Source organism: Homo sapiens, chromosome 3, assembly GCF_000001405.40.
Source record: "Homo sapiens chromosome 3, GRCh38.p14 Primary Assembly".
Taxonomy (NCBI): Eukaryota; Metazoa; Chordata; class Mammalia; order Primates; family Hominidae; genus Homo; species Homo sapiens.
In genome coordinates this window covers 10,813,345-10,837,519 of record NC_000003.12, presented here as the reverse complement: position 1 = coordinate 10,837,519, position 24,175 = coordinate 10,813,345, and the positions used below count along the sequence as shown (strand labels likewise).

Genomic DNA, 24,175 nt, shown 5'->3' with positions numbered 1-24,175 from the left:
CAGGTGACATGCCCAGAAAGTGGGGACAGATCTTGAAGCCATATCTGTTCAATGTCAGAGGCAGAGCTCAGAACCACTGCCCTGTCTTGGGAAAGATGGGGAATTGTGTGATTATGAGTGTCAGTGGAGCCAGTACCCTGGGGAGCCAGGGAGTGCAATCAGGGACCGACATAGGCCTAAGGGGTCTGGAGCTACCTCTCCAATTCCCTCTGTCCCTGCAAAATCCTACTCTTTGGCCACACACCAGTCTCCATCAGTCCCCAAACATCCTGCACTTCCTCACATTGCAGAATTCACTCCTGTGATTCCCTCGGCTGGGAACATCCTTCCCAATTCTCCCCAGTTATCTATATTCTAACCATCCTTCAAGCACCAGCTCAAATAACACTAAGCCTCACAAGTGCTTCCTTGGTCCCCACCCCAACCCCAGGGCCAGCCCCTCCTGCCACCCAGGCTAAGCAAGTGAGCACCTCACTGTGTACCAGGGACTCCCAGGCCAGAGCTCAGCAAGCTTTTTCTGTAAAGGGCAAGGGAGTAAATTCCTTCAGTCTCGCAAGGCATACTGTCTCTGTCCCAACTATTCTCTATTCCTGCAGGGTGAAAGCAACCACAGGTCATTTGTAAATGAATGGGTGTGGCTTTCTTCCAATAAAACTTTATTTACAAAAACAGGCAGCAGCTGGGATTTGGCCAGTAGTTTGCTGACCCTTGTCCTAGGCTAATGCTTCCCAAAGAACACTAATCCTCCAATGTCCTGAGTTCCCAGGTCACACTGGGCTCTCATTTGAGAAAATACTGAACCCTAGACTTCCTTAGAGATGTTCAATGCTTAGTAGAATACGAAAGGGTCTGAGAAGTCCTGAAACAAATACATTTGTACAGCTTTATCTAACTGAATGTTTCTCAAATTTATTGAGAAGTGTTCCGCATTGAAATGGAAATTAAAACCACAAGAAATACCACTTCACACCTACTAGGATAGCTATAATCAAAAAGTCAGACAATAACAAATGTTGGTGAAGATGTGGAGAAATGGAACCCTCGTATATTACTGGTGGGAATGCAAAATAGTTCAGCCACTTTGGAAAGCAATTTGGCACTTTCTTAAAAAGTTAAACACAAAACCCAGCAATTTCTCTCCTGAATATAAGCCCAAGAGAATAAACATATGTTCAAACAAAAATGTGTGCACAAATGTTCATAGCAGCATTATTCGTAATAGCCCAAGGTAGAAACAACCCAAATGTCCATCAACTGATGAACGGATTCACAAAATATGGTCTACCCATGCAACAGTATTTTATACAGCTACAAAAGCAATGAAGTACTGATTCATGCTACAACATAGATAAAGCTTAAAAGTGTTATGCTACATGAAAGAAGCCAATCACGAAAGACCATAAGTTGTATGGTTCCATTTATATGCAATGTCTAAACAAGGCAAATTCACAGAGATAAAAAAAATAGCTGAGTGTTGCTTGGAGGTGGGAATGGAGATTAATGGTGAATGGGCAGAGAGCTCTTATTTAGAGGATATAAATGTTCTAAACTTATATTGTGGTGATGGCTTCACACTTGGTAAATTTACTCAAAGCTGTACACTTAAAAGGAGTGCATTTTATGGCATGTAAACTACAATAAACTTTCTAAAAAGTTAAGAAGGAAGGGCTCCCCCCTCCCAACCCTGTTTCTGCTTTTCCAAGGCAATACTTCCTAACATCCTGCAGAACACACACTTGGGAAGACGTGTCAGGCGCTTTTGTGTAGTTATCTTGTACACCATTGTTCAGAGGAAACTCAGGCTCCACAGAAATAGCTACCTTGTCCGAGATCACAAAACCGGTAGGTGGCAAAGCCTGGTCTTGAACCTGTCTCTTGATCCCAAGTTTAATGCCTGCGCTGCCCCTCTGTGGCTGGAGGGTGAGACTGAGGGCAGCAGGAGGGAGTGTGGGGAGGAGAGTGAATCTAAAAGTGGGGACTTTCCAGAGGAGCAGGCACTCAGGGAAATGCCTCAAAACTTAGGCCTCACCGGGAGAAGTGAACAGAGGTCCTGCAGGTCAGGAGGCAAAGTGCATAAGGGGAAGGTGAGAGACGGAGGAACTGCCGCAGCTGTGAAGAATCCATCACGGGTTCATAACGCAGCCATTCTCTCTCGCAGAACGTGGATCCCACGTGGTGGGAAGGGCCTCCCCCACCCCATGGCTGGGGTCCAGGCCCTCAGATTCCTGCCCATTACTCCTCCTCCCAGGACTCAAGCAGCTTAAAAATGCTGCCCAGGTCACGGCTGCCCTACAGGTTTCCCACATGTGCCCGAGGGGAAGCAAATCTGCATCAAGGAGCAGCCGAAAGCTCAGGCAAAGCTGGCCCACCTGTGCCCTGGCCCCTCCGAGGTGGTCTGCATTAAGGATTGCAAGAAGCCACTGTGTGTCGCGGATGGGTGGTGGCCAGGATAGGCGCGAGAGCATCAGGAGCAGCCCTGCACAAGGAGTTTGGAGTGGGGAGTCGGGGTCTGGTCCCAGCCTGGGTGCATCCCACTGGGAGACTGCAGGTGGTCACCTGTTTTTGGAATGTCATTTCATCCACCTCAGCTCTAAAATGGAAGTGAGGTTGGGAGGTCTGTGGAAGGGGAATGGATTGTGAGGAGCTACTGCTGACCAGCAATGTCACACTGTCCACAGCTCACTTCATGCCAACTGCACCTTTAAGTGCTGTCTATTTACACCCATTCTACAGAGGAGGAAACTCGAGCTTCGGCATTACCTGCTCAGGGTCCCAATTCCTAAGTGAAAAGGTCAGGTTGCCCCAGCTCTGGCGCTTCTCCCCCATCCTGCATGTCTTCCATCTGCCCCTTAGTGAGAAGAGCGCAAAGCACAAGCAAGGGATGTGTGTGTTTGGGTGTGCATGTGCGACCCTGGAGAGTTTTATATACTTCCTCATTGTTTTATTAAAAACAACCTGGTCGAGTTATTCTGCTCCTGACGGGTCCTGACTCTAAAGCCACTTCCTAAAGAAACCTTCTGAAACCCAGGAAGGACCCAACCCACAGGGCTTACATTGTTGTTGCTGGATGCTGAAGGCTTCTGTGAAGCCATTTCTCATGAGTTTCTTCCTTCATCCCTTCCTCCCTTTTCCTATGAAATATATTCCCCATCTGCTGAAAAAAAAAACAAAAAAAAAAACAAACTTACTTCCAGAGCCTGAGTCCACAGGGCTGCAGAGAGGCAGCACACAGCAGTCCGACTCTGCACCTGGGATAAAGCAGGCAGCTGACCACATTTCACACACAGGAAGAAGCCTGGAACGGCAGAGAGATGCAGATGGCTGGGTTTCAGACCAGCTCAGGCTCTGGCCCACCATGAGAGGCACTTTGGTCAGGTCCCTTAATCTCTCATGCCCTCAGAATCCCCCGTGTGAGATGAGAACTCATATACTGATACCACATCATCTATCCCCTGGGTGGATGGGTTAAATGAGGTCATGTGCTTAGAGGGCCCTGTGCAGGGCCAGGGTATACAGTAGGTGCTTAGTAACCAAATGTGACTTCCTTTTCTCTACTGCACCCATCAGGATGTAGAAAGAACCTCAGACAAAACTCTTGCAGTTCAGTAAGTTGCTGCTTCCTGTTCTATACTGTAAGACATCCAATGTGAAAAATACAAATACCCGTCTGGCTAATTTTATACACAAATATGTTTACTGTAATGATCAAGAACTCATAATAACAGGAGACCACAGCTATTCAGTATTTATTAAGCCCAGTTACTACTAGTAGTGCTGTAACAACAATTATTCCCATTTTGCAGACAAGGACAGTGAATTGCAGAGAGATTTAAGCAACAAGCCCAAGACTAACAAGTGGAAGCAGCAGGATTCAAATTCTTACTGTTGGCCCCAAAGCCCAGGTCTCTAGGTCCCCACACCACACCACGGCACGGCACTTTTAAATAGCATTTCAACAACCGTGCATACAAGCAGAACCTTGATCCTCGGCTGAAGGGCTTTCAGTATAGCATTCGGATGGCATCATCACCAGAAGCATTAACTGGTCCATCTGGGAAGGTGTTCTGGGCAAGGAGCCATCCCTGGCATTGATGGCTTAGGGCAAATAGACCTTGGGTTCTCCCTCGGGCCTCCACCCCTTACACTTAATTGGCAGTGGGCCAGGCATGGTGGCTCATGCCTGTAATCCCAGCACTTTGGGAGGCCAAGGTGGGTGGATTACCTGACGTCAGGAGTTTGAGACCAGCCTGGCCAACATGGTGAAACCCCATCTCTACTAAAAATACAAAAATTAGCTGGGTGTGGTGGCGAGCACCTGTAATCCTAGCTACTTGGGAGGTTGAGGTGGGAGAATTGGTTGAACCCAGGAGGTGGAGGCTGCAGTGAGCTGAGATTGTACCATTGCACTCCAGCCTGGGCGACAAGAGCGAAACTCTGTCTCAAAAAGAAAAAAAAATTAATTGGCAATGGAGAAGTGCTTCTTGGTGCCTGGCAGATGGGGGTCCTGGCTCTTGCTTCAGGGATGGCCACCAGGGTGGGTCTGGCTGGGGACAAGGGAGTGGAACTGCAGACTTTGGCATGCCCCTTCCTACTTCAGCAGCTTGGAAACCCAAATCCTGTTGTGTGCTGTATTTTCTTCTTTTACTTAAACCTACTTCCTACATTTTCTACAAAAAAGGACACAGATCACTTTTGCACTAAAGAAATCGAGTGTTCACTGGAAAACCTGCTTCTATGAAAGGGAACTGACGGAAGAGGAGAATTAAATTTCTGAACCTGGGAACTTGTATGCTTTGACAGACAGGACAAAAAGGAGAGTAATAGGAGTGGTACTAAGAGTACGGGGAAATACTAGCAGGAGGAGACTCAATTGTGAACAGAGTTCTCTCTTAGAGAGCAGGGCTGGGGAGACATATTTATAGGTTATATTTAATCTGACATACAAACATATCCCATTTATATGCCTATTGTGTTTTCATTGCTTACAACAATAATCACCATTTTTAACATCAGTTAAATATTCAACAATTAGAAGAAGAAGGTCACAACACCCTATTAGAGCAACAAAGTGTTGATCTGGGTTTGCTTTGGTGAATTGGCAAATCTCATGAGAGTGCTGCATGTGGCCCAAGCCCCTACTCAGCACAAGTCTGGTGTGTGTCCTCAATGGGACCTCCTCCTGCTCCCCCAAACCCTAATCAAGGATCCCCAGTGCCTCCCTGGTGGGGAGGAGTAACAATGGCCCTCTCCTTGAGAGAAGAGATCCTCTGTGGGGCAGCTGGTGGGTGGGTTTGCAGGGCACCAGGGCTGCTCGGGGCCACTAGGAGCCAAGAGGCTGGCTTTGGGTTCTGGGAAATCCCTCAGCGTTTCCAAAATTATGTTTAGTTAATGGTAAAATTGAATTTTTTTCTTCTGCCTACATTACAGGCATTAATTCATTTAAATAATTAAATGAACTAATATCAAGACAAATGACTTGATAACTAAATAAATACATAAAGATTAACAAGGTGGAAGCTTCTACTAGCTTCTTCTCAACATCTGCCTGCAAACTCTCCTTTGTGTTAAAATCTTCCATTCACTGGAAGGAAACAGTAAATGATGAACCATTCAGAAAGCATGCTTCATTTCACTTTTCAGGGCTAGATATTTCTGCCGGCCTATAGGTGCATATAGGAGAAAGAAAGAACTACTAGTTTCTTCACAATGTCTGCCTACAGACTACTGTAAATGGGATTCGTTACACAAACAGGAGGGTTCATTATGACACGTAACAGCTTATTCACTAACCCCGTGGCTCCTATTTTTTAAATTATGAAATAATCATGTTCCTAGTTTTAATTGTTTCTAATTTAAATAATACAAAAAAGTACAAAGCAAAAAGTAAGCCTCTCTCTCTATAACCTCACTTACCCCCGAGTCCCACTCCTGGGTAATCTGTTAATAGTTTCTGTGTATTCTGCCAGACATGGTTTATGGTTATAAAGGCATATACAACACATATATTACATACGATATCATATACAACATGCTACAGCTCACCTTTTTCACTTACTGTTAGCTTTTCTGTGTCAACACATTTTCTGCCTCATTCTTTTTTAGCAGTTGTATAATTTATCTAATACATATCATATTTAAGAATATTTTACATGTCCTTTCTAACTATCACATGCAGTGCTGCTGAGGACATGTTCAGGTTCTGTGTAACTAGTGAGGTCATATCGCAAAATAAACTTTCAGAAGTAGGATTTGGGGACAAAACTTATGTGCAGCCCCAGTGCCGCGGGTTATTGCTAAATTGGCTTCTGTTGCTGTTGTTTAGAAAAAAAAATGGGGACTTGAGAGTTCAGGCAGATTAAGAGCTGCTCATCTGCCTGCATCAGAACAAGTTCACTGAGGACATGTGAGATTAGAAGACCTCACAGCAAGTGGGAGGCTGTGGAGGAATTAATACATCAGAGAGACCATTCTCTTATTCCCTTCAGTGTATTCTATGGCCAAGCATGGCAAGAGTGCTTCCACCCTGTCTTTCCCAACAGTGCAGGGCACCACCACCCAGCTTCCACCTCCGGAGGAAGGAGCCTTAGGTTACTGCACCTGGACCACATCCAGGGCCTCCACCTGCAGCCTGGGGAGGCTGCCTTATCCCCAGGCCTGATCACACAACTCTAGGAATAGAACATTTGCAGGCATCCCACAGAATCACTGCAAACCCTTTAGAAAGGTACAGAGGCCCTTCATGCTCTTCTCCAGGCTCTTTGACTGCCTTGCCATTCCCCAAACAGCCTCCCACTATGGGGTCACCACCCCTGCTGCTCCCTCGGCCCTGTAGCTCCTGGGACCTCCACATGGCTTGCTCCCTCACTTCTCTCAGTTCCCTTGCTGACATGCCACCTCCTCAGAGAGGCCCTCCCTGACCCTTGAACACTTTCTGCCCCCTAAACCTGCTGACTTTTTCTTCAGGAAACTGATCTCAACTTAATCCAATATTTTCTGCTTATTTGGTTGTTGGTGCTCTCAGCTCCATAAGGGTGAGTCTTTGTTTTGTTCATGTTGCATTCCAGAACCTACAATGAGACCTGCCATATAGTAGGTGCTCAATAAAGACCTGTGAGTGCATAGATGCTCTGGCCCCTGCCTGCTCTTCAGTAAAGTCTCCCCTTAGCCCCTAGGATCTAAATGCAGTAGCATTGTGGGTAAAATCTATAAGCTGCAACACACAACTTCAGGTCTCTGTGCTCTTGCTTTTTTTATTCTCTCCACCTGGTATGTCATTTACTCACTCCATGGCCAACCGCATGAACTTCTATTTATCCTTCAAAACCCAGCTAAAGTATCACCAACTCCATGTAGCCTTCCCCAAAGTCCAGGTATCCAGGGTTCCCCAGCCTCACTCTGCAAGCATCCTACAGATATATCTGTTACCTCGTAATTCAAAAACTCTTTTTGTTTTTTTTTTCCTACTTCCCAGCTTCCCCTGCTGGGCTGTGTGCTTCTTCATGGAGAGCCAGTGTCCCACCACTCATCTTTCTGGCTACTTATAAGATGCCCAGCACCCAGTATTTACTAAGAAAAATGTCAAAAGAACAATTAAGTGAAGAAAAAAATGCACTAAGAAAGCTCACCATGCCTACTGTGAGTGGGAAACAAGGCCTTGCTTGATGAGCCTTCTCTAAAGAATCTTAAAAAGAATCCACATAGACTTGCAGAGATCTGGATAAAGTCTCCTGTGTAAAAACAGCTACTATTTATTAGCACTCACCACATGCTAGGAGCTTTGTAAGCATCATCTCATTCCATGCTCTTGACAAGCCTAAGGGGTGGGTACGTTTACCATACATCATCCCATATTCAGAGGAGCAGGCAGAGGCTCTTCAGGTTGCCCAGGGTCACACACTTGACAGGAGGAAGGGGCAGCTGCTTAAACTGGGCTCTAGAACTTGCCGCTAACATCTACACTTTAGCCACGGGGTAATGTGTTGGGGGTATGGTGGGGCCAGGTAATCCAAACTAGCAGAACTGGATGTTGCTACACAGCATGCAGTGCTGACCTAGGAAAGGGTCCCAAGGGCACTTCTGATGCTGAATCAGGAGGCATGAAGGCTACTGTAGGCAAACAGAGCAACTGTGCACAGGCCTTGGCAGCTTGGGCCCAACCATGACTCTGTACCTGTAGAGATGAGGCTGGAAGGGACCCTGTGCCTCCAGTAGCCAGAACTAACACAGGCACCCCACTTATGACCCATCAAAGTTCTCAGAATGTGTTATTTCATTTAATCCTCACAGCAGCCTGGAGAGGTTGGTAAGGCAAGGAACAGGGTTAACCCCATTTCACATATGGGAGAACCAATTGCAAAAAATCTTCTTACACATTAAAACCTTTCCAAAGAGCTTAAGATGGGCTGGGCTTCCTACAGGAGAAGTCTTATTCAATTCTCTTCTCAGCCTTGCAGGTGGGTGTTCAGGTGGGTGTTATCATTTCCAATTTACAGATGTGGACACTGAGCTCCAAGGGGGTAAGAAATATTCATTCATTCATTCAGTCTTCCATTCACTCATTTCAACAAATATTTATTGAGCACCTAGAATGTGCTGGCAAGACAATAATGAACAAAACAGACATCGTCCTTGCCAGCATGGAACTTAAATTCTGATGGAGAAAGAGAGAATAATCAAATAAATATACAAGGATTTCAGATAAGAACTATTAAGAAAGAGTGATGGGGCATTAAGAAAGAGTGATGGGGTTGAGAGGGACTGGGGTGTGGATTCCATGGGCATGGTCAAGGAGGGCTCCCCATATGACACTGACATTTGAATTAAGACTCAATGATAAGAAGGAGCCAGACACACAGGATCTGGTGAGAAATCTTCTAGCAAAAGGAAAAGCAAAAGCCAAGAGACTGACCCTGGGACAAGGCCCGTACATCTAAAGAACAGAAAGAAGGCCAGTGTGGAGGAGGGTAATGTGCAGAGGGGAAGATAGGCCTGGGAGAGAGGCAGGGAGTCACCCCAGTCCCACAGAAAGAACCAACCTTCACTCTAGTTCCTCTGATCCCAAATCTCATGTCCAAAGAAAATCAATTAAAACATTCACGTGACTCAAAAATAAACACTAAAAACAAAACTCCTCCAGTGAAGATAAACCAGAAAAACAAGGCCTCATCCTTCTGAATAAATAGAACTGAATACCCTTAGAGCTTAATTTGGGCCCGGCACACAATATGTGCTCAACATGTGTTTTTTGAATGGACACCGTGCAAAAACAGTTTTGATTGTATACACAGCAAGAATGGAGTTGCTCCCCAAACCCTGGACTAATGGGATTTGTGGGCTTGAGAAAGGGAAGTGAAGATGAATCAATGTCCATCTGATGCCACAATATTGGTTATGCACTTAATAGCATTCAATCCCACCAGAGGGTACAGGCTCAAAATTTAGAACTGCAGACACATTTAGATAAATGCACGGATGCCAGATGCATAATGGGTTACTAAGGGAAACGAGGATGGCCTAATTTTGAAGTCTGACATTAGGAAGACAAGCATCCCTGGCCCTGTAGGACCCCCATAAGAGTCAGAATCCAGGACTGATGTAGGGCCTGAACTTCTCTCGTGGGCTAAGCCAGCAATTTTAATTACATCTGAAAAGGGAATTGACACTTCAAGATGGGGAGTGGGCAGGCCAGGTGCCCATGGTCAAGGCAAAGCCATGGCCAGATGCAGGCAGAGAAGTAGTGCCTTGTGGATGATTTTAAGGTAATCTGTGGGCTTGTCTCAACTCTGCTTCTAGAGACTAGAACCTCATCTTCCATCTTTACTTCCCCTAAATAAGACACCGTGCTTTTCTTATGTGTACCAGGAGCTCAGATGTTTGTCAAATGATTGAACTATAATAGCAGACAGCCTAGGCAGTCTACTTTGACTGAGCAATGTGGCCCTGACTGAAGTCCCTGGAGTTGGAGGCAGTGTGAAAAGGACAACTGGAGCCCACCAAACCAGCCACACAAGGAAACAACAAAGAGAGGTGAAGGAATGTTTTTGAGGAAGCTTGATCCAATACTTGAAGAGTACTGTCACACAGAAATGGAATTAGGTATGCTCTGTCAAAGCCCCAGAAATCAACTTTTGGCTGAATTTAAGGAAGAACTTATTCCTAGCAAAATGTTTCCCAGACTGCATTTAGTGGAATGCTAGCATTCAGGGGGTGGAGTACACTGGGGCAGGGGCAGAGAGAGGGAAGGGATTCTAATTTATTCCATAGGAAAATAAGTTTGGAAATTTGGGTTCAGCAAAGGTAAATGGATATTCTCACTGAAGGACATAGCTTTCATCCATTCTCAAACTTATGTGGCTCAAAAGCTTTTCATAGGATGATATGAACATCTCACACAATCTCTATATTCTAATCTCAGCTCAGGGGCAAAGAGGAATTAGAGGTGTCTGACAAAAGTATAACTGTATGAAGGGGTGCGTGTCCCACTAGTATTTGAGTACTTTTAGGATACAGGATTCAACACCACATGGATGATACAGACAGAGATGCAATCTGAATAGAAAACTAGAACCATGGGTTCATTTGCCCATGAACTTTCATCTTGAGTAACCAAGTAGCTGGCAGGATGGTCTATACCGATGAGGATGCACACAAACTGCCCTTGCCTGCCCTTGGTGTTCAAATGAATGGATAATATGGATATTGCAAAGGGATCCTGGAATTAATCAATGCTGTTGGGTGAGAGGCTTAATGACAGCAGGTGTTCTTGCCAGAGCCCACTTTGACTCTTCTCATATAATATTTTCTAGGACATATTGCCTGCCTGTCTGCCTTCTTCATCCATCCATCTAGTTTATAAATATTAACTGAGGGCCTTCCATAGCCTGGCAATGATAAGTAAAACCAGACAAGGTTCTGCTTCATGACTGTCTATTGGGGAATACAGACAATGAACAAATACATTATACAAATAATGATTTAATTAAGGTTTTCCATATATGTTACAAAGGAAATGAGTGGTGCAAAAACAACAGTAACTAACACAGAGACCTTGTCCAGTCTGGAGTTTCAGAGTGAATTCTCTAAAGGTGAAAGAAACTGTTCTGCAGACCCCCAAATGTGCAGGTCCAATACAAGTCTCTGACATTCTTCCAGGAAACCTCAACCCAATGGGACTGGGAAAGACCACACAGGCCCACCCAGCCCAGAAGTCTCCTTTCAAGCACATATCTAACAGATGCTCTGTTTGAGACTATGATTCAGTAGGCCTGGGGTAGGTAACCAGGTGATTAAAATGCTGCTACTCTGTAGACCACATTTAAGTAGCACTACTCTATAAGGCAATTTAAAAGACATAAACAAATGGAGAACTAGCTATACCATGTCCATAGACAGGTTCAATCATAAAGATGTCAAATTCTCTCAAACTAACCTATGAGTTCAATAGACTTTTAATCAAAATTCCCACACAGTTATTTTGTTTTTTTATTGCTATTCTTGTTTAATTCAACAAACTGATTCTGAAATTCATTTAGAAGACTAAAACAATTTTGGAAAAGAACAAAGTGGGAGACTTGCCTTACAGGCTCAAGGCTTACAGTAAAACTATAGGTGTGGTATGGGCACAGAGATAGACAAAGAGACCAGTGGAACAGAACAGAGAGCCCAAACACAGACTTGTGCTTAAAGGAAATTATGTACAGAAGATGGCATTATAAATCAGAAAAGAATGAATGATCAGTAAGTCCTACTGGGAAAATAGGTTATTTATATATTAAAACCTGGATTTCTACCTAATACAACATTAAAAACATAAAATTCCAGATGGATTATATTCCTAAATATGAAAAAAAACTGTAAAACTCTTAGAAGAAAATATGGAAAATTTTTTCAACTTTGGGGTAGGGAAATATATCTTAAATAAGACACCAACTGTGCAAACCCAAAAGAAAAATCGACGAATTCGACTTCAATAAAATGGAAACTTCTGTACACCATAAATAAGAAAGAAAAGCCACACATTGGGAAAAGATAATATCTAGAATGTATTAACAATTTCTATCTGTAAGAAAAGACAAACTATCCAAATAGAAACGAATGTAAACCTGAAGTTCACAGGTACAGAAATCAAATAGCAAAAAACAGACAAAACAAAACATGAAAAGGTGCTTAACCTCACAAGTAATTAGAGAAATGTGAATTTAAAATAGTAAGTTATCATTTAATGCCCATTACACTGGCAAAACAAAAACTGAACAGACCAAGTGCTGTCCAAAATGTGAAGCTGCAGAAATTCTCACAAACTCTTGTTTGGAGTGTAAATTAATTTTTTTTTTTTTTTTTGAGACAGTCTCGCTCTGTCACCCAGGCTGGAGTGCAGTGGCGCCGATCTCGGCTCACTGCAACTTTCGCCTTCCAGGTTCAAGTGATTCTCCTGCTTCAACCTCCTGAGTAGATGAGATTGCAGGCATGAACCACTACCCAGCTAATTTTTGTATTTTTAGTAAAGACAGGGTTTCACCATGTTGGCCAGGCTGGTCTCAAACTCCTGACCTCAGGTGATCCGCCCACCTCGGCTTCCCAAAGTGCTGGAATTACAGGTGTGAGCCACCATGCCTGGCCTAGATTAATTTCTTTCTAAAGTAATTTTACGTTATATGATAAAACTGACAACGCATGTATGCTACAACCCAGCAATTCCACTCAAGGAAGCACAGACTAGACATTCACTCAGTGTGCTTAATAATAGTGAGAAATGGGCAACAGCCTAAATGCCCATCAAGAGGACCAAGAGGACCTGGATAAATACAACACAGGCCATTCATACAATGAAATACTCTGATAGAAAAATGAAAGAACCAAAGCTACATGTACCAATATGGATACATCTAAGAACCAATATTGAGCAAAGAAATAAAGTTGTTATAAAAAATGTAAATAATGGATGCCAGTATCACAAATTTGAAAAATATGCAAGAAAGACCTAGGTGCTATTTGGGGCATATATATATGAAAAGTATGAAGATTTATATGAGAGTGGTAAATCTAAATTCAGCATAATGACCTCTAGAGAAGGCAGGAGACGAATGGTATCTGGGAAAAAAATAAAAATCACTCATAAACCACTGCCCCACCACACACACATATACTACTATTAATCACCATCAGAGTAAGGGAGGCTTCTTCAATGAAGCCAGGACTTTTTAGATTGAAAAGCTTCAGAAAGCATTTAGTCCAGCCTTTGACCCATACAGGAAACTTCTTTCCAATACCTGGGGCAAGGGATCCTTCTACCTTTAAAACAAACTTGCAAGTCAGGGCCACTGTGTATGGTTATACAGGTCGTGCACCACACAATTCTGGAATGTATATTTCATAATGTAAATTATGGCCCCTTGGGTTGTTCAGTGTGCAATGTACACAACCACACATAGCAGCCCTGTAAGGGTCACAGATCCTTTGGAACTCTGATAAAACTATGCCAATTTCTGGGAAAATGCCCAACCACACAAGTACTACTTATAATTTCAGTGGATTCAGACACACCCCCAACAATGATTGGCAACCCTATACTGGTCAACTTCCAGGGATGGGTGCTCACAACCTTCTGAAGTGCTTCCAGATAATGCTATGCTATGAGACCAAGTTCTTCCCTACGCACATTTGAAACCTGCCTCTTTATAATCTCTATCCATTAAATTTGATCTCCTTCTTTTCCATATGACACTTCAGCTACTGAAAGAAAGCTAACCTATCCCCTCTAGAGACTTATGCTTTCCAGGCTAAATACACTCTTGACTTAGCTTATTGCAAACAGGCTGCATCTCCTCTTTTGCTCAAAATGAATTTTTAAACTGTCTATCCTTTCACCAAGTACTTCCTGCCCTAATAACCCACTATGCATGCTGACATGTTATCAAAGAACAAGAAAACATTTCTCTCAGCTGCCCCTTTGGGAAACCTCTGAAGATCTGCACTCTTGCTTCCGAAGCTGTCGAATGCTCACAGAAGCCAGGAAGTGCCAGGCTGCAAGAAGGATCAGGCTTTTTCCAGGAATAGGGGCAAGACCAACTGAGCAGAACCAGGACAGAGCCCCCACAGGCCAAGGGAGACAAGTTCTTCTCCACTTACTCCCAAAACTCCATGACAGGGGAGGTGGCATTCTGCAGAGACACATGGCTGTAGTTGCTCACATTCAGTTTCTGGAACTCCACACAATTCTCTACAGTGGAAACAAGACAAGAAATAGAAGAAAATTAATCTCCATGAAAGCTGAATCCTGAAAAACATTCAGAGCTGATGCGCAACTAGGCATTTTCATCTACCCACTCCAGGTAAACATGCGTCAAAGGGCAGTGGGGAAAATCAATACTTTACAAACAGTTAAGAGGCTTGGACTGATTAGAACAGGAGGAAAGGTTTATGGGGCAGGGGGCCTTCTCTCTCCCATTCCTAACCAACACTCCCTATCAAACTGTCTCCTCTACCCTTGTTCCCAAATCTTCTTTTATTTTTTCCACTTCCCTGCCTAAGTCCCACCAGTAGCATTTATCTGTCTGGCTGAAGGGCTGTAGTGGAATAGGGGGACTAAAGGAATAGATCGTCCATGGTGACCTTGGGGCAGTAATGCAGCTGAGACTCAGTTTTACTTTATGTGTAAAGGGGCTAATGCCACAGCTGTCTCATCAAGACGTGATGATTGGAGGAAATGGTGTGAATCAACATATGCCAAGAATCCCTGGTTTCTTCATCATTCCCTCACTAGATCCAGTCAATCAGAAAGGACTTACTGAATGCCTCTTCTCATTTCACGAAATTTGATGTCCCAGGGAGATTTAATCTCAAGTAAAAGCAACCTAGTGTTCATCCTTCAAGGCCCAGTGCCCCTGGGCCTTAACCCCATCTCCAGGAGGCCTTCCCCAACCTCCCTCCCCTGAAATCTAAGAAAGCAAGAATTCAAAGGCCCTCCAAGCAACCAACTTTTCCAACTCCCTTTATTTTGAGGAAGAAGAATCTAAGGTTCAGAAACAGTCAAGGGACCCCCACCTATACCCTCTTCCTCCTCTATAAAGTCACTGGCCAGCGTGGATAGAACTGTAATAAACTCCAGCCAGGGCTCCATCTACTTTGCCACGGGTATTGCCCAGAAAAGCCCACTACCATGGGACCCATGTCCCTCTGTTTAGAGACACCTGGGGCACCAGACCATGAGCTCCCCAAGGGCAAGGCCTCCTGTATCCATTCACCTCAGAGGCCCCTGCACCCCGCACCATGGCCAGCACGGAGCAGGAGCCCGGCTGGCTTCACTCTTGCATGTCTTCCATCTCACATATGTATGAATGCTCCAAACCACATCTGTAATCTCTGCAGGCAGGAATCACCTCCTATGTGTGATGTTTCACACATTGCAAGTGTTCACACACCTTTAGAGAAAGGGGATTGCAAACCAGTTGAAGAAAGAGGTTTGCAGTCCACTGGGGAAAATCCAGATTGTCTGCCTGCTTCTTGCTCCTCTTGGCAAGTGCTAACTATGTTCTGAAAGGAGGTGGTCTGGGGGTCCTCAGTCAGGCTTGAGAGGAGCCTGGAAACCTGAAATTGTCAGCAAGATTTCTGAATGTGTCCTGTGCCTTTTTCTGGAGAGAGGAGACCTTGACTTTTATCGAATTCCCTAAAATAGGATTTCTCAATTATTTTTTCTTCCTAGAGTTAAAAAAAAAAATTACTGGACACCCAAGTTGACCAGTTATTTTTATTAAAATATTTAACCATGTACAAATAAACAACAAGTTATAAAGTCTTTGTGATTACAGTATTCATACAATTATAAACGTCAAATTAAATTTATAAATTAAATACCAACTATACTACAGAACCAGCACAATTTAAAGTGATAACAGAAAATGGATGCATAGGATAATGCTATTTGGTAAAATTATATTGCTTTCCCAACAGAAAAATGAAACTGACATGTAAGAAGCAGAATCTGTTGAGTTCAGGTGGTTTATTCCTCCATGGACTATTTGAGATTTGATTACCCATTTTCCTCTGGTTACACTTCTGCAAAACCTTCATTCCTATGGTGTGTTGCATTCTCAACTGGACTTCACTTAGTACTAATGCTCTATCTATGAATTAAACCTTTCTGGTCTTTTTCCCTTGGCCATCATCATTCTATTTGCCATGAATGCATCTTAAATTATAAACATGCATAAAGTCAGCCACTGGAATCTCCTGACTATCCTCAGTTATAAGGTGTTTGCTCAGACCATCCAGAGCATGTGCATATTTTTAGAGTATCCTCAAAATAAGTACCCACAATTAAATTACCCTAGAGGACTCACAGGCCTCCAAGAAATTGTCCTTGAATTTTAGTTTGATAAACATTTCTATGAGTTCCCTGGCCAAAGGGAGGTTAAAAACTAGGGCCCTAAAGAGAGAAACAGCAAAAGCTCCACAAAATGCAACAGCCAGGGGTTGGCAGAGTAGGGGAGTAGGGCAGAGTCAGGCATCACATAGGGCTAGAAGCCAGACTGCAGCATCTCCTAGGTCTACCACCTGCTGTTCCTTCTACTGGTCACCAACATCCTACCCGATCTTACTGGATCTCAGCCCTCACGATGGCAGGCCACTTCCAGACACAATCTAAACACAGGTTATCATACAGATGGTGAATAGGTCAAAGTGTGTGCGCCAATTCCAGTCAAAAGGCAGCAGCTCTCTGGAGCACTATTGGAGAAGGGTTCTAAGGCCAAGACTAGACTGAGAAGGAAAGAGTGCTACAATTGATTAGCGATGTCTTCTGTGAGCATGGCCAGCTTAGACAGGGATTGGGCAGGGATATGCCTTTCTTGGATTATAAAACTCAATGCTAATAGGAGGATATATGGAAAAACAAACAATATATCAGTATCAAAAATAATCTAAAAGATTATCCATTCCAGCAGGAGTGGGGTTGGGGGCTAAATTCAAATGTCAGCTGGGTTGGATTGATAGAGTAAATGAAGAAAGTGAGCTGGGTGGGGTTTGTGCTAACTCCAGGACGGATGTGTCATTGAAGGCAATAGCCACCTCTTGGCTACAGCCACTGCTGTCAAGCAGGAAGGTGGGTCTGGTGTCACCAGATCGTTTAAGTTTTTAAGATAGGCTGGAAACCTGAATTTTTCACGTGAAGTCTTCCAATTTTTTAATTTTGGCAACCAAATCTATTTTTTAAGTCTGCCATTCACTGATCTAAAGCCTGGTTGGCCTGTAGGTCCTCTGTCTGCAGCCCTTGATCTGGTCTAACCTCAGTTTTACAGGGGAAAACTTGACACTAGAAGCAAGACTAGTATTGGAGCTCTAGTCCCCTGAGTCTAAGTCTAGTGCTCTTCCTCACACCCCCATCCTGCCCCCAAAGGGCTCAGTCTCTGCATTTGACAAACAGAGGACAGAACATCTCCATTCTCCTAACCATGCCAGTCTCTGGGCCAATGCTCAGCTCAGGCTTTAGGGCTGCAACTCACAGAACGTACCAGAACAGGTGCAGAGCTGACCCCAGTTTCAGCAAGACTACCCTAGAAAACTGGACTCATGACGAGAGGCCAGGGACCAGGACTGGCCTGAAGGGCATGAACAAACCCCAATCCCAGGTCACCCAGCAGGACCAGCAGAGAGACCTCCGTGGGGCCATACCTGTGTTCCACTCATGCCCACAGGTAGCCCAGGGTAGCTCAGTAGTGAAGCAGTTGCTCAGGTAAAAAATGGCCCATGCCAGGATGATGATGTAGTACACATTCAGATGGGCCTCAATCACCTGTGTTGCATAGCCAATGCCTGAAAGGACAAAAGAAAGGAAGGAATTTGAGTCTATCTTTTCAAAACAATCTGCCTTTGCAGTTGACATTCCCTGGGCAAAATTTTATTTTCTCATTAACTCAACACATACCTTCAAATAAAGGGCAAACTTTCCTCCAACACGTAATGCCACCTTCACTTGTGAACTGCCCCAGAGCTGTCTCCAGGAAAAAAACAGGAATTCCACAGCAAATAAAAAACACCACGTAGGGAATCAGGAATGCCCCTGTAAGGATGCAAAGGAATGAAATGAAAACTGTCCCTGCCGATTCATACTTGGCTCAAGAACTCTTTAATAAACATCTACTACAGGCCAGACATGATGTTCTTTGAACTTGAGTTCAAGTTCCCATTATGAAGACCAGAGTCAGAAAACAGCGCTAGGTTTCTGTAAGTCTACCTCACATCTCCAAGTCTCAACTTCTCCATCTGTAAAATGGAGCTTTAGTTTTTAATATCTGCACTGCTTCCCTCATAGAACTGTAATGCAGCTAAGATGATAATGTAAAAGAAATTGTTTCATTGGCTCATTTAAAAAAAATTTTTTACATTTCATCCTCCAGCGTGGGTCAAATTCATTCCCTCCCTGAATGTTGCACCCTTTTTCATTTTAAAGTGACCTCAACAGACCAGGTGAGGGGCACCCCTTCCTTTTACTTTGGAAGTGACTTGCAAACAATCTTTGTCATAAAGAAGAGCATTCTCAGGGAATTATACAATGAACAATATTAAGCCTCAAAGAATTAAGTACCCCTACACATGAGGCCCAGGTGTGGTGTCAACTTGCAAGGAGTTTGCAACAAGAATCTATCTAGCAAAGGCTGGCTTTGAATTGGTCCAGGAAAAGACCACCACTAAGCATTAGTGTTCCTGTCTTGAAACACAATACCCATTTCCTGGGCCTTTCTGTGAAAAAAATTAAATAACTGAGGTGAGCATGAACTATTACACCCAGAATGGGGATTTTTCCAAATCCCTCATTCTGTCCCTCCTGTCTAATAACGAAGCATGAAAACACATGCTATTTGCCACCATCTGATCTCACAAATGACGGCTTTAACTGAAAGTGCTTTTTGCCAAATGAAGTCTCCTTAACCGTAAGGATTAATAGCAACAATTTTGATGAATCCTGATAGCAGGATCATATCTATCAGGGTTTGAAAGGGTCTTAGCTTTTCTGGGCAAGCAGCTAATTTAAAGTTTCATATTGGGAAAGAAATACTTTATTGTTGGGATCTCAAAGGAGGGCAGTAAGGATGTTTTTAAAAAGGTAAACAGTTGAGAAGCAGATATCCCAACTACATTAGAAAGCAAAAAGTGTGGAAAAGGAGATAAGAGGATCTGTTTACTGAATCGAAATCTAAGTGATTAAAATCAGCTGCAGCAGGTCCCCTAACATGCTGTTATTTACCTGTGAAACCTCTAGAATCTAACGTATGACACTTTCAGAAAGCCTTTTGACCTGTGTATTCACAAAGCTACTAACCCTTAGGACAATAAACTCTACCAAACCAGGAGATCTATGAATCTCAAGAAAACTCTTGGCTAGTCAGAAAAAAAAAATGACTCATTTAAAAAACTTTACTCACTACAACCTTTTTTTTTAAAAAAAAAAAAAAAAATCTGTGACAGAATTTGTAATTAACCCAATTTACCGTGTTTTCTGCTTTTATGAATGCTTTTTGTTTTGGCACAACAATTTCCTGTATGGAAAAAAAAGATGTTAAAACAATTTGTGCCTGGGGACTACCCTAGGTGTGCACAGGTTTCCAAGTGGACGCAGCTTACAAACGCTGTATCTGCAGAGAGGCAGGATTCACAGCCGAGAGCACAGGGCACGTTGGGGGTCTCCAAGTCCACTCCCTCTCTCTCCCTTGCCAAGCCGCCAACACCAGCGGCCACTTCATTACCAGTGCAGAGCAGGCTTGGAGCAGCCTGTGCCTTCAGGATGAATGTCCCCAAAGAAAGGGCCTGGGCCAAGCAGTACCCTTCTCCCTCTCCCGGCAGCTGCTCGCACAGGAAGTCCTGCTCTGCACAGACTCATAGCCCGGTCCCTGCCAGCCAACTTCTGAGCCACCTTCGCTGGGGTTTGGGAATTTGCTGGAGGGGCAGGGGCACAGCAAAGAGAAGAGAGAATATACAGATACAGGCTCTTCCTTCGAGAAATTGTGCCACCGAAGGAGGTTTTATAAGATCCCTTGCCATGGACCCGCCCAGCTGTCCTGCCGATATGACAGGAGGGGGTCCTGAAGGCTGGAGCCCCTTCCCTGAGCTGGGAGAGTTACGGATTCGCTGCTGCATCTTTTGCCAAACTGACTTTGAGAGGCTGTCACCAGAAAGGACTCTCTCATCACTGTCCTTTCCCTCTCCCCTTCTACATCTCTATGCAGAGCATCAACATTAAACCAGTATTGCTGTTTGTCGTGGGTGACTCTCAGACCCGTAAAATAAACTGTTCGTTGTCAATTCTTCCACCAGAGGGGCCCCAAATATTGGCCCTAGAAATGGGCTTAAGAGCAGACGAAAGACTAGGCAGGAAACCATAGAGCAATGCCTCGCCTAAAAGTTCTCCCTGTTGTGAGTCCAGTCCCAGTTTAAAATAGGGCCTTTGACATCAGAATCTCATCTTTATTTTTGGTCGAGTGAGACTTCTCTGACCCTCAGTGTCCTCACCTGCAAAATGGGTAGACCCCTGCCTACGAAAGTGACTGAGAGGATGAGATGAGATGATATGGTCAAAGGTGCTCGGCACTTCAGTAAGCGCGCAAAAACTGAGACCACTTTGATCATCAGGAGTCCCTTCCCCACAGGCCGTTTTCCCAGTTAGGAAAGCTGAGGCTCCAAGGGGCCAAGTGCCCGAAACACCAGGGCGCCTACCCAAAGCAAGGGCTCCCTGGCCTCGGTCTGCATCTCATGCTGGGGACAGAACGCGGGCAAGTCCCCGCGCTGGCAGGTGGAACCCTCAGGTGCGAATTGGCACGTGCGCGTGCGCACTGGCACAGGTGGGCCGCGCTCCGGGGCGAGCTCACACGCGAGGTGCCTGGAGTCGAGGTTCTCCGCTCGGGTTCCGCTCCACGCAGGCGCGGGAGGGGGTCTCGCGCTCGCCCCTGGCTCCCCGCCCCCACCGGGCGGTTGGCGCCCCCTCCCCTTCTCCTCACTATCACCTCACCTCCTCCGTTCTTGTAGCACAGGTAGGGGAAGCGCCACACGTTGCCCAGCCCAATGATCTCCCCGGCCACGCTCAGCACGAACTCCACCTTGTTGTTCCAGTGGCCGCGCTCGTGGACCGCCTTGTCGCGCTTGACGCGCGGGTGGCGCGCGGGCGCCGCGCCCCCGCTGCTGCAGCCGCCACCCGGCGCCTCGGACTCCCGCGCCTCCTCAGCAGCCTTCCCATTGCCCAGGGGCAGCGCCTTCTCCGCCGTCATGGCCGCGCTGGCTGCCTCGTGCGCCGGCCCGGCTCTGCGCCGCCGCCCCGGGCGAGCTGGCTTTTCAGGAGGCGCGAGCGGGCGGGAGGGGGAGGCAGGGGGTGGAGCTGAGGGACCGGGCCAGACCAGCGCGGAGACTGGGACTGGGACGCGCCGCGGAGGCCCGGCCCGCAGGGCGCCCACGCCACCTCAGCCCGGCTGGGCCCGGGAGCCCGCGAGCACCTTGAGCGCGCGGAGCCCCTGCAGCGCCCGTCCTTCCCGCGGCCCTGCCCACTGGCCTGCTGGGCCAAGAGTGGAAGCGCCCATTCCGGCCTAGGCCGGCTCCACTCACCAAACCCCAAAGTTCTACCACCGTCCATAACCTTCAAATGCTTGGGCCTCGGTTTCCTGTTTCTAATAAGAGGAATGGGCTCTAGACCAGACTTCTCCAACTTGAACTACACACCAGACACCTGCGGGTCTTGTTTAAACTACACATCACGGTCTAGTAGGTCGCAGTAGGCTGAAGAGCCTGCGTGTCTGACTACCTCCCCAGGGACGCTGATATGTCTGGTCCAGGGACCACACCTTGAGGAAAAGGCAGTAAATGAATTCGTGGCTTCTTCCCAGCCCTAGACACTCTGCAGGTCTTGTTCATACTGGTGTCCGCAGCTCTCAACATAGTCAGGACCGTGTGGCAGTTAAGTGCTTGCGTCTGGAAACAGGTGAATCTAAGTTGTGTGATTTTGGCCAGTCATCTGATCCCTCTGTGCCTCAGTTTCCTGATCTGCAAAAGGTAATATCAGTAGTATCTTGTAAGTTTTAATGTAGGGGATGGATTTTTAGGTAAAAGGTTATTAAGAAATGCTTATAAAGGTCTTGATACCTTGAAAGTGCCCAATGAACATTACCCATTGTTAGTATTATACAATATGTAGACCTACACACATTTGTCCATCTTCTTGTATAATATTTGTCTCCTCACTTAGTTGTAAGGATGATATACACTGTCCTGTTCATTATAATAGCAACATAACCTAGCACAAGACTTGGTGCATAGTATGTGCTCAATAAATGTTTGTGGCTAGAGAGGAAGGGAGGAAGGTAGGAAGAGGAAAAGGGGAAGAAGGAAAGACTATTAAGCTGCTGGGGGCCACAGAGATGAACACTTCCACCTCTTCCATTGCACAGGCCTGGAAAAGTCCAGCCACATTGAGCCCCCACCAACCCTACTCTCCATCTGTCCCTCGGAGCTCCCTCTGGAGCTCTCTTAGGGACAGGCTCCTTGCTTTGAAGCCTTCAAACTCCTGCCTTCCGCTTCTCCTTTCATTCTGGCTCACAACTGCTCAAGTCGCTCCCAACCTCCATCTCCCCAGAAAGCCCTTCCTTCCACCATCTTCCCGTTTCCCCTCCCCCCACTATCATATTTCTTGAAAGAGTAAGTTGACAGGCTGCCAGCCCTGTCTTTACCTCCCACACGTTCCTTGGCCCACAGCAATCTGGCACCCACCCCCACCACTCCTCTGAAAATGCTGTGAAGTCCCGGACGCCCTCTCAATTTGGCAAATTCTACGGTTCCTTTTCCATCCCTATCCTGCCTGGCCTCTAGGTAACTTTCTGCACCATTGCTCCCTCCTTTGCTTCTTAAAATTCCCACTGGTGTGGTTTTCTTGGCATTGCCTGGCGCAGCTACCATTTCTCTCCCTGCTTCTCTGGTTCTCCTTTCTCTCTCCTTAAATTCAGCCTTTCTCATATCTTGAACCACTGAACTAAATGTGGGTGCCTCCCAAACCTCTGTCCCCATGTGCTGCCTAGGTTATGTTTAAAAGCAAAGATCCTGCGGTGTTCAGGGTGAGACTATACTGAATTCAGATGGATGTGGCTTTGCATTCAAGCTCTGCCCCTTAGGTGCTCTGTTACCTCTTTGCCTCATGCTTCTCACCTGTTAAGTGGGCTTCACATGAGTTCTGACCTCACAGGGTGGGTGTGTGGGTTAAAAGCCTCAGTAGGAGCTCTGTGAACAGTAGCTATTATTGTTGTTTATTATTATTTTTTAAAAGATGGAGTCTCACTCTGTCACCCAGGCTGGAGGTGCAATGGCACAATCTTGGCTCACTGCAACCTCCACCTCCCAGGTTCAAGCGATTCTCCAGCCTCAGCCTCCCGAGTAGCTGGGATTACAGGTGCCCACCACCACACCCAGCTAATTTTTGTATTTTTAGTAGAGATGGGGTTTCACCATGTTGGCCAGGCTGGTCTTGAACTCCTGACCTCAGGTGATCTGCCCGCCTCAGCTTCCCAAAGTGCTAGGATTACAAGCGTGAGCCACCACACCTGGCCAGTAGCTATTGTTTTTATTGTGAGGAGGAGGAGGATGGTTAGTTCATTCCCTTGCTTAAAAGCCCTAATGGGAGGCCAACAACCTGGCCAGTAGCTATTGTTTTTATTGTGAGGAGGAGGAGGATGGTTAGTTCATTCCCTTGCTTAAAAGCCCTAATGGGAGGCCAACATAGCAAGACCCTATCTTTAAAATTAAAAAAAAAAAAATACTTAGCCAGACGTGGTAGTGCACACCTACAGTCCCAACTACTCAGGAGGCTGAGGCAGGAGGATGGTATAAGCTTGAACTCCCCCAGGAGTTCTAAGCTGCAGTGAGCCATGATCATGTCACTGCATTCCAATCTGGACTATGGCACAAGACCTTGACTGCAAAAACAAACAAAAAAACCTTCATTGGACTTCCTTTTCCTACAGGATAAAACCAAATTCCTGGCCCTAATATTCAAAATTCCCCCTCAATCAAATTGTCCCAGCCTTTCCTTCTACCATTTTTGAATGCCATTTTTCTCCCACACTAAGACTTCGTTATTTTTATTTTCTTTTTGATGATCCTCAATGCTGTGTATAGAATGGGCAATAAAGGAAGGAATTTTTCTTTGACC

At 45.4% G+C, this 24,175-nt stretch overlaps 1 protein-coding gene across 4 annotated transcripts in view, besides 1 other annotated feature; it reads right to left on the bottom strand.

Moving 5' to 3' along the window:
* The window catches only part of SLC6A11 (solute carrier family 6 member 11), a 124,487-nt gene extending 103,195 nt beyond the window's left edge, over positions 1-21,292 (bottom strand). For 2 of the 4 annotated variants that reach the window (NM_014229.3, XM_011534033.3), the window contains exons 1-4: positions 20,999-21,292; positions 17,921-18,055; positions 17,668-17,808; positions 14,128-14,218 (exon numbers count right to left, since the gene is read on the bottom strand). In NM_014229.3, coding sequence (NP_055044.1) covers positions 14,128-14,218; positions 17,668-17,808; positions 17,921-18,055; positions 20,999-21,254 — 623 coding nt within the window. In that variant the 5' untranslated portion in view covers positions 21,255-21,292. Of the gene's footprint in view, positions 1-3,672; positions 14,219-17,667; positions 17,809-17,920; positions 18,056-20,998 lie in introns of those variants that run through there. The other 2 variants (NM_001317406.3, XM_047448764.1) reach the window with 2 other exon arrangements.
* Positions 2,413-2,547: a silencer, noted in NCBI's record as "fragment chr3:10876658-10876792 (GRCh37/hg19 assembly coordinates)". NCBI's record gives its function as "represses an EF-1alpha promoter that drives an FKBP-Casp9 reporter gene in an ReSE screen in HepG2 liver carcinoma cells {active_cell/tissue: HepG2}" and the evidence as "EXISTENCE:reporter gene assay evidence [ECO:0000049][PMID:32094911]".
* Positions 21,293-24,175: the final 2,883 nt, after the last annotated feature.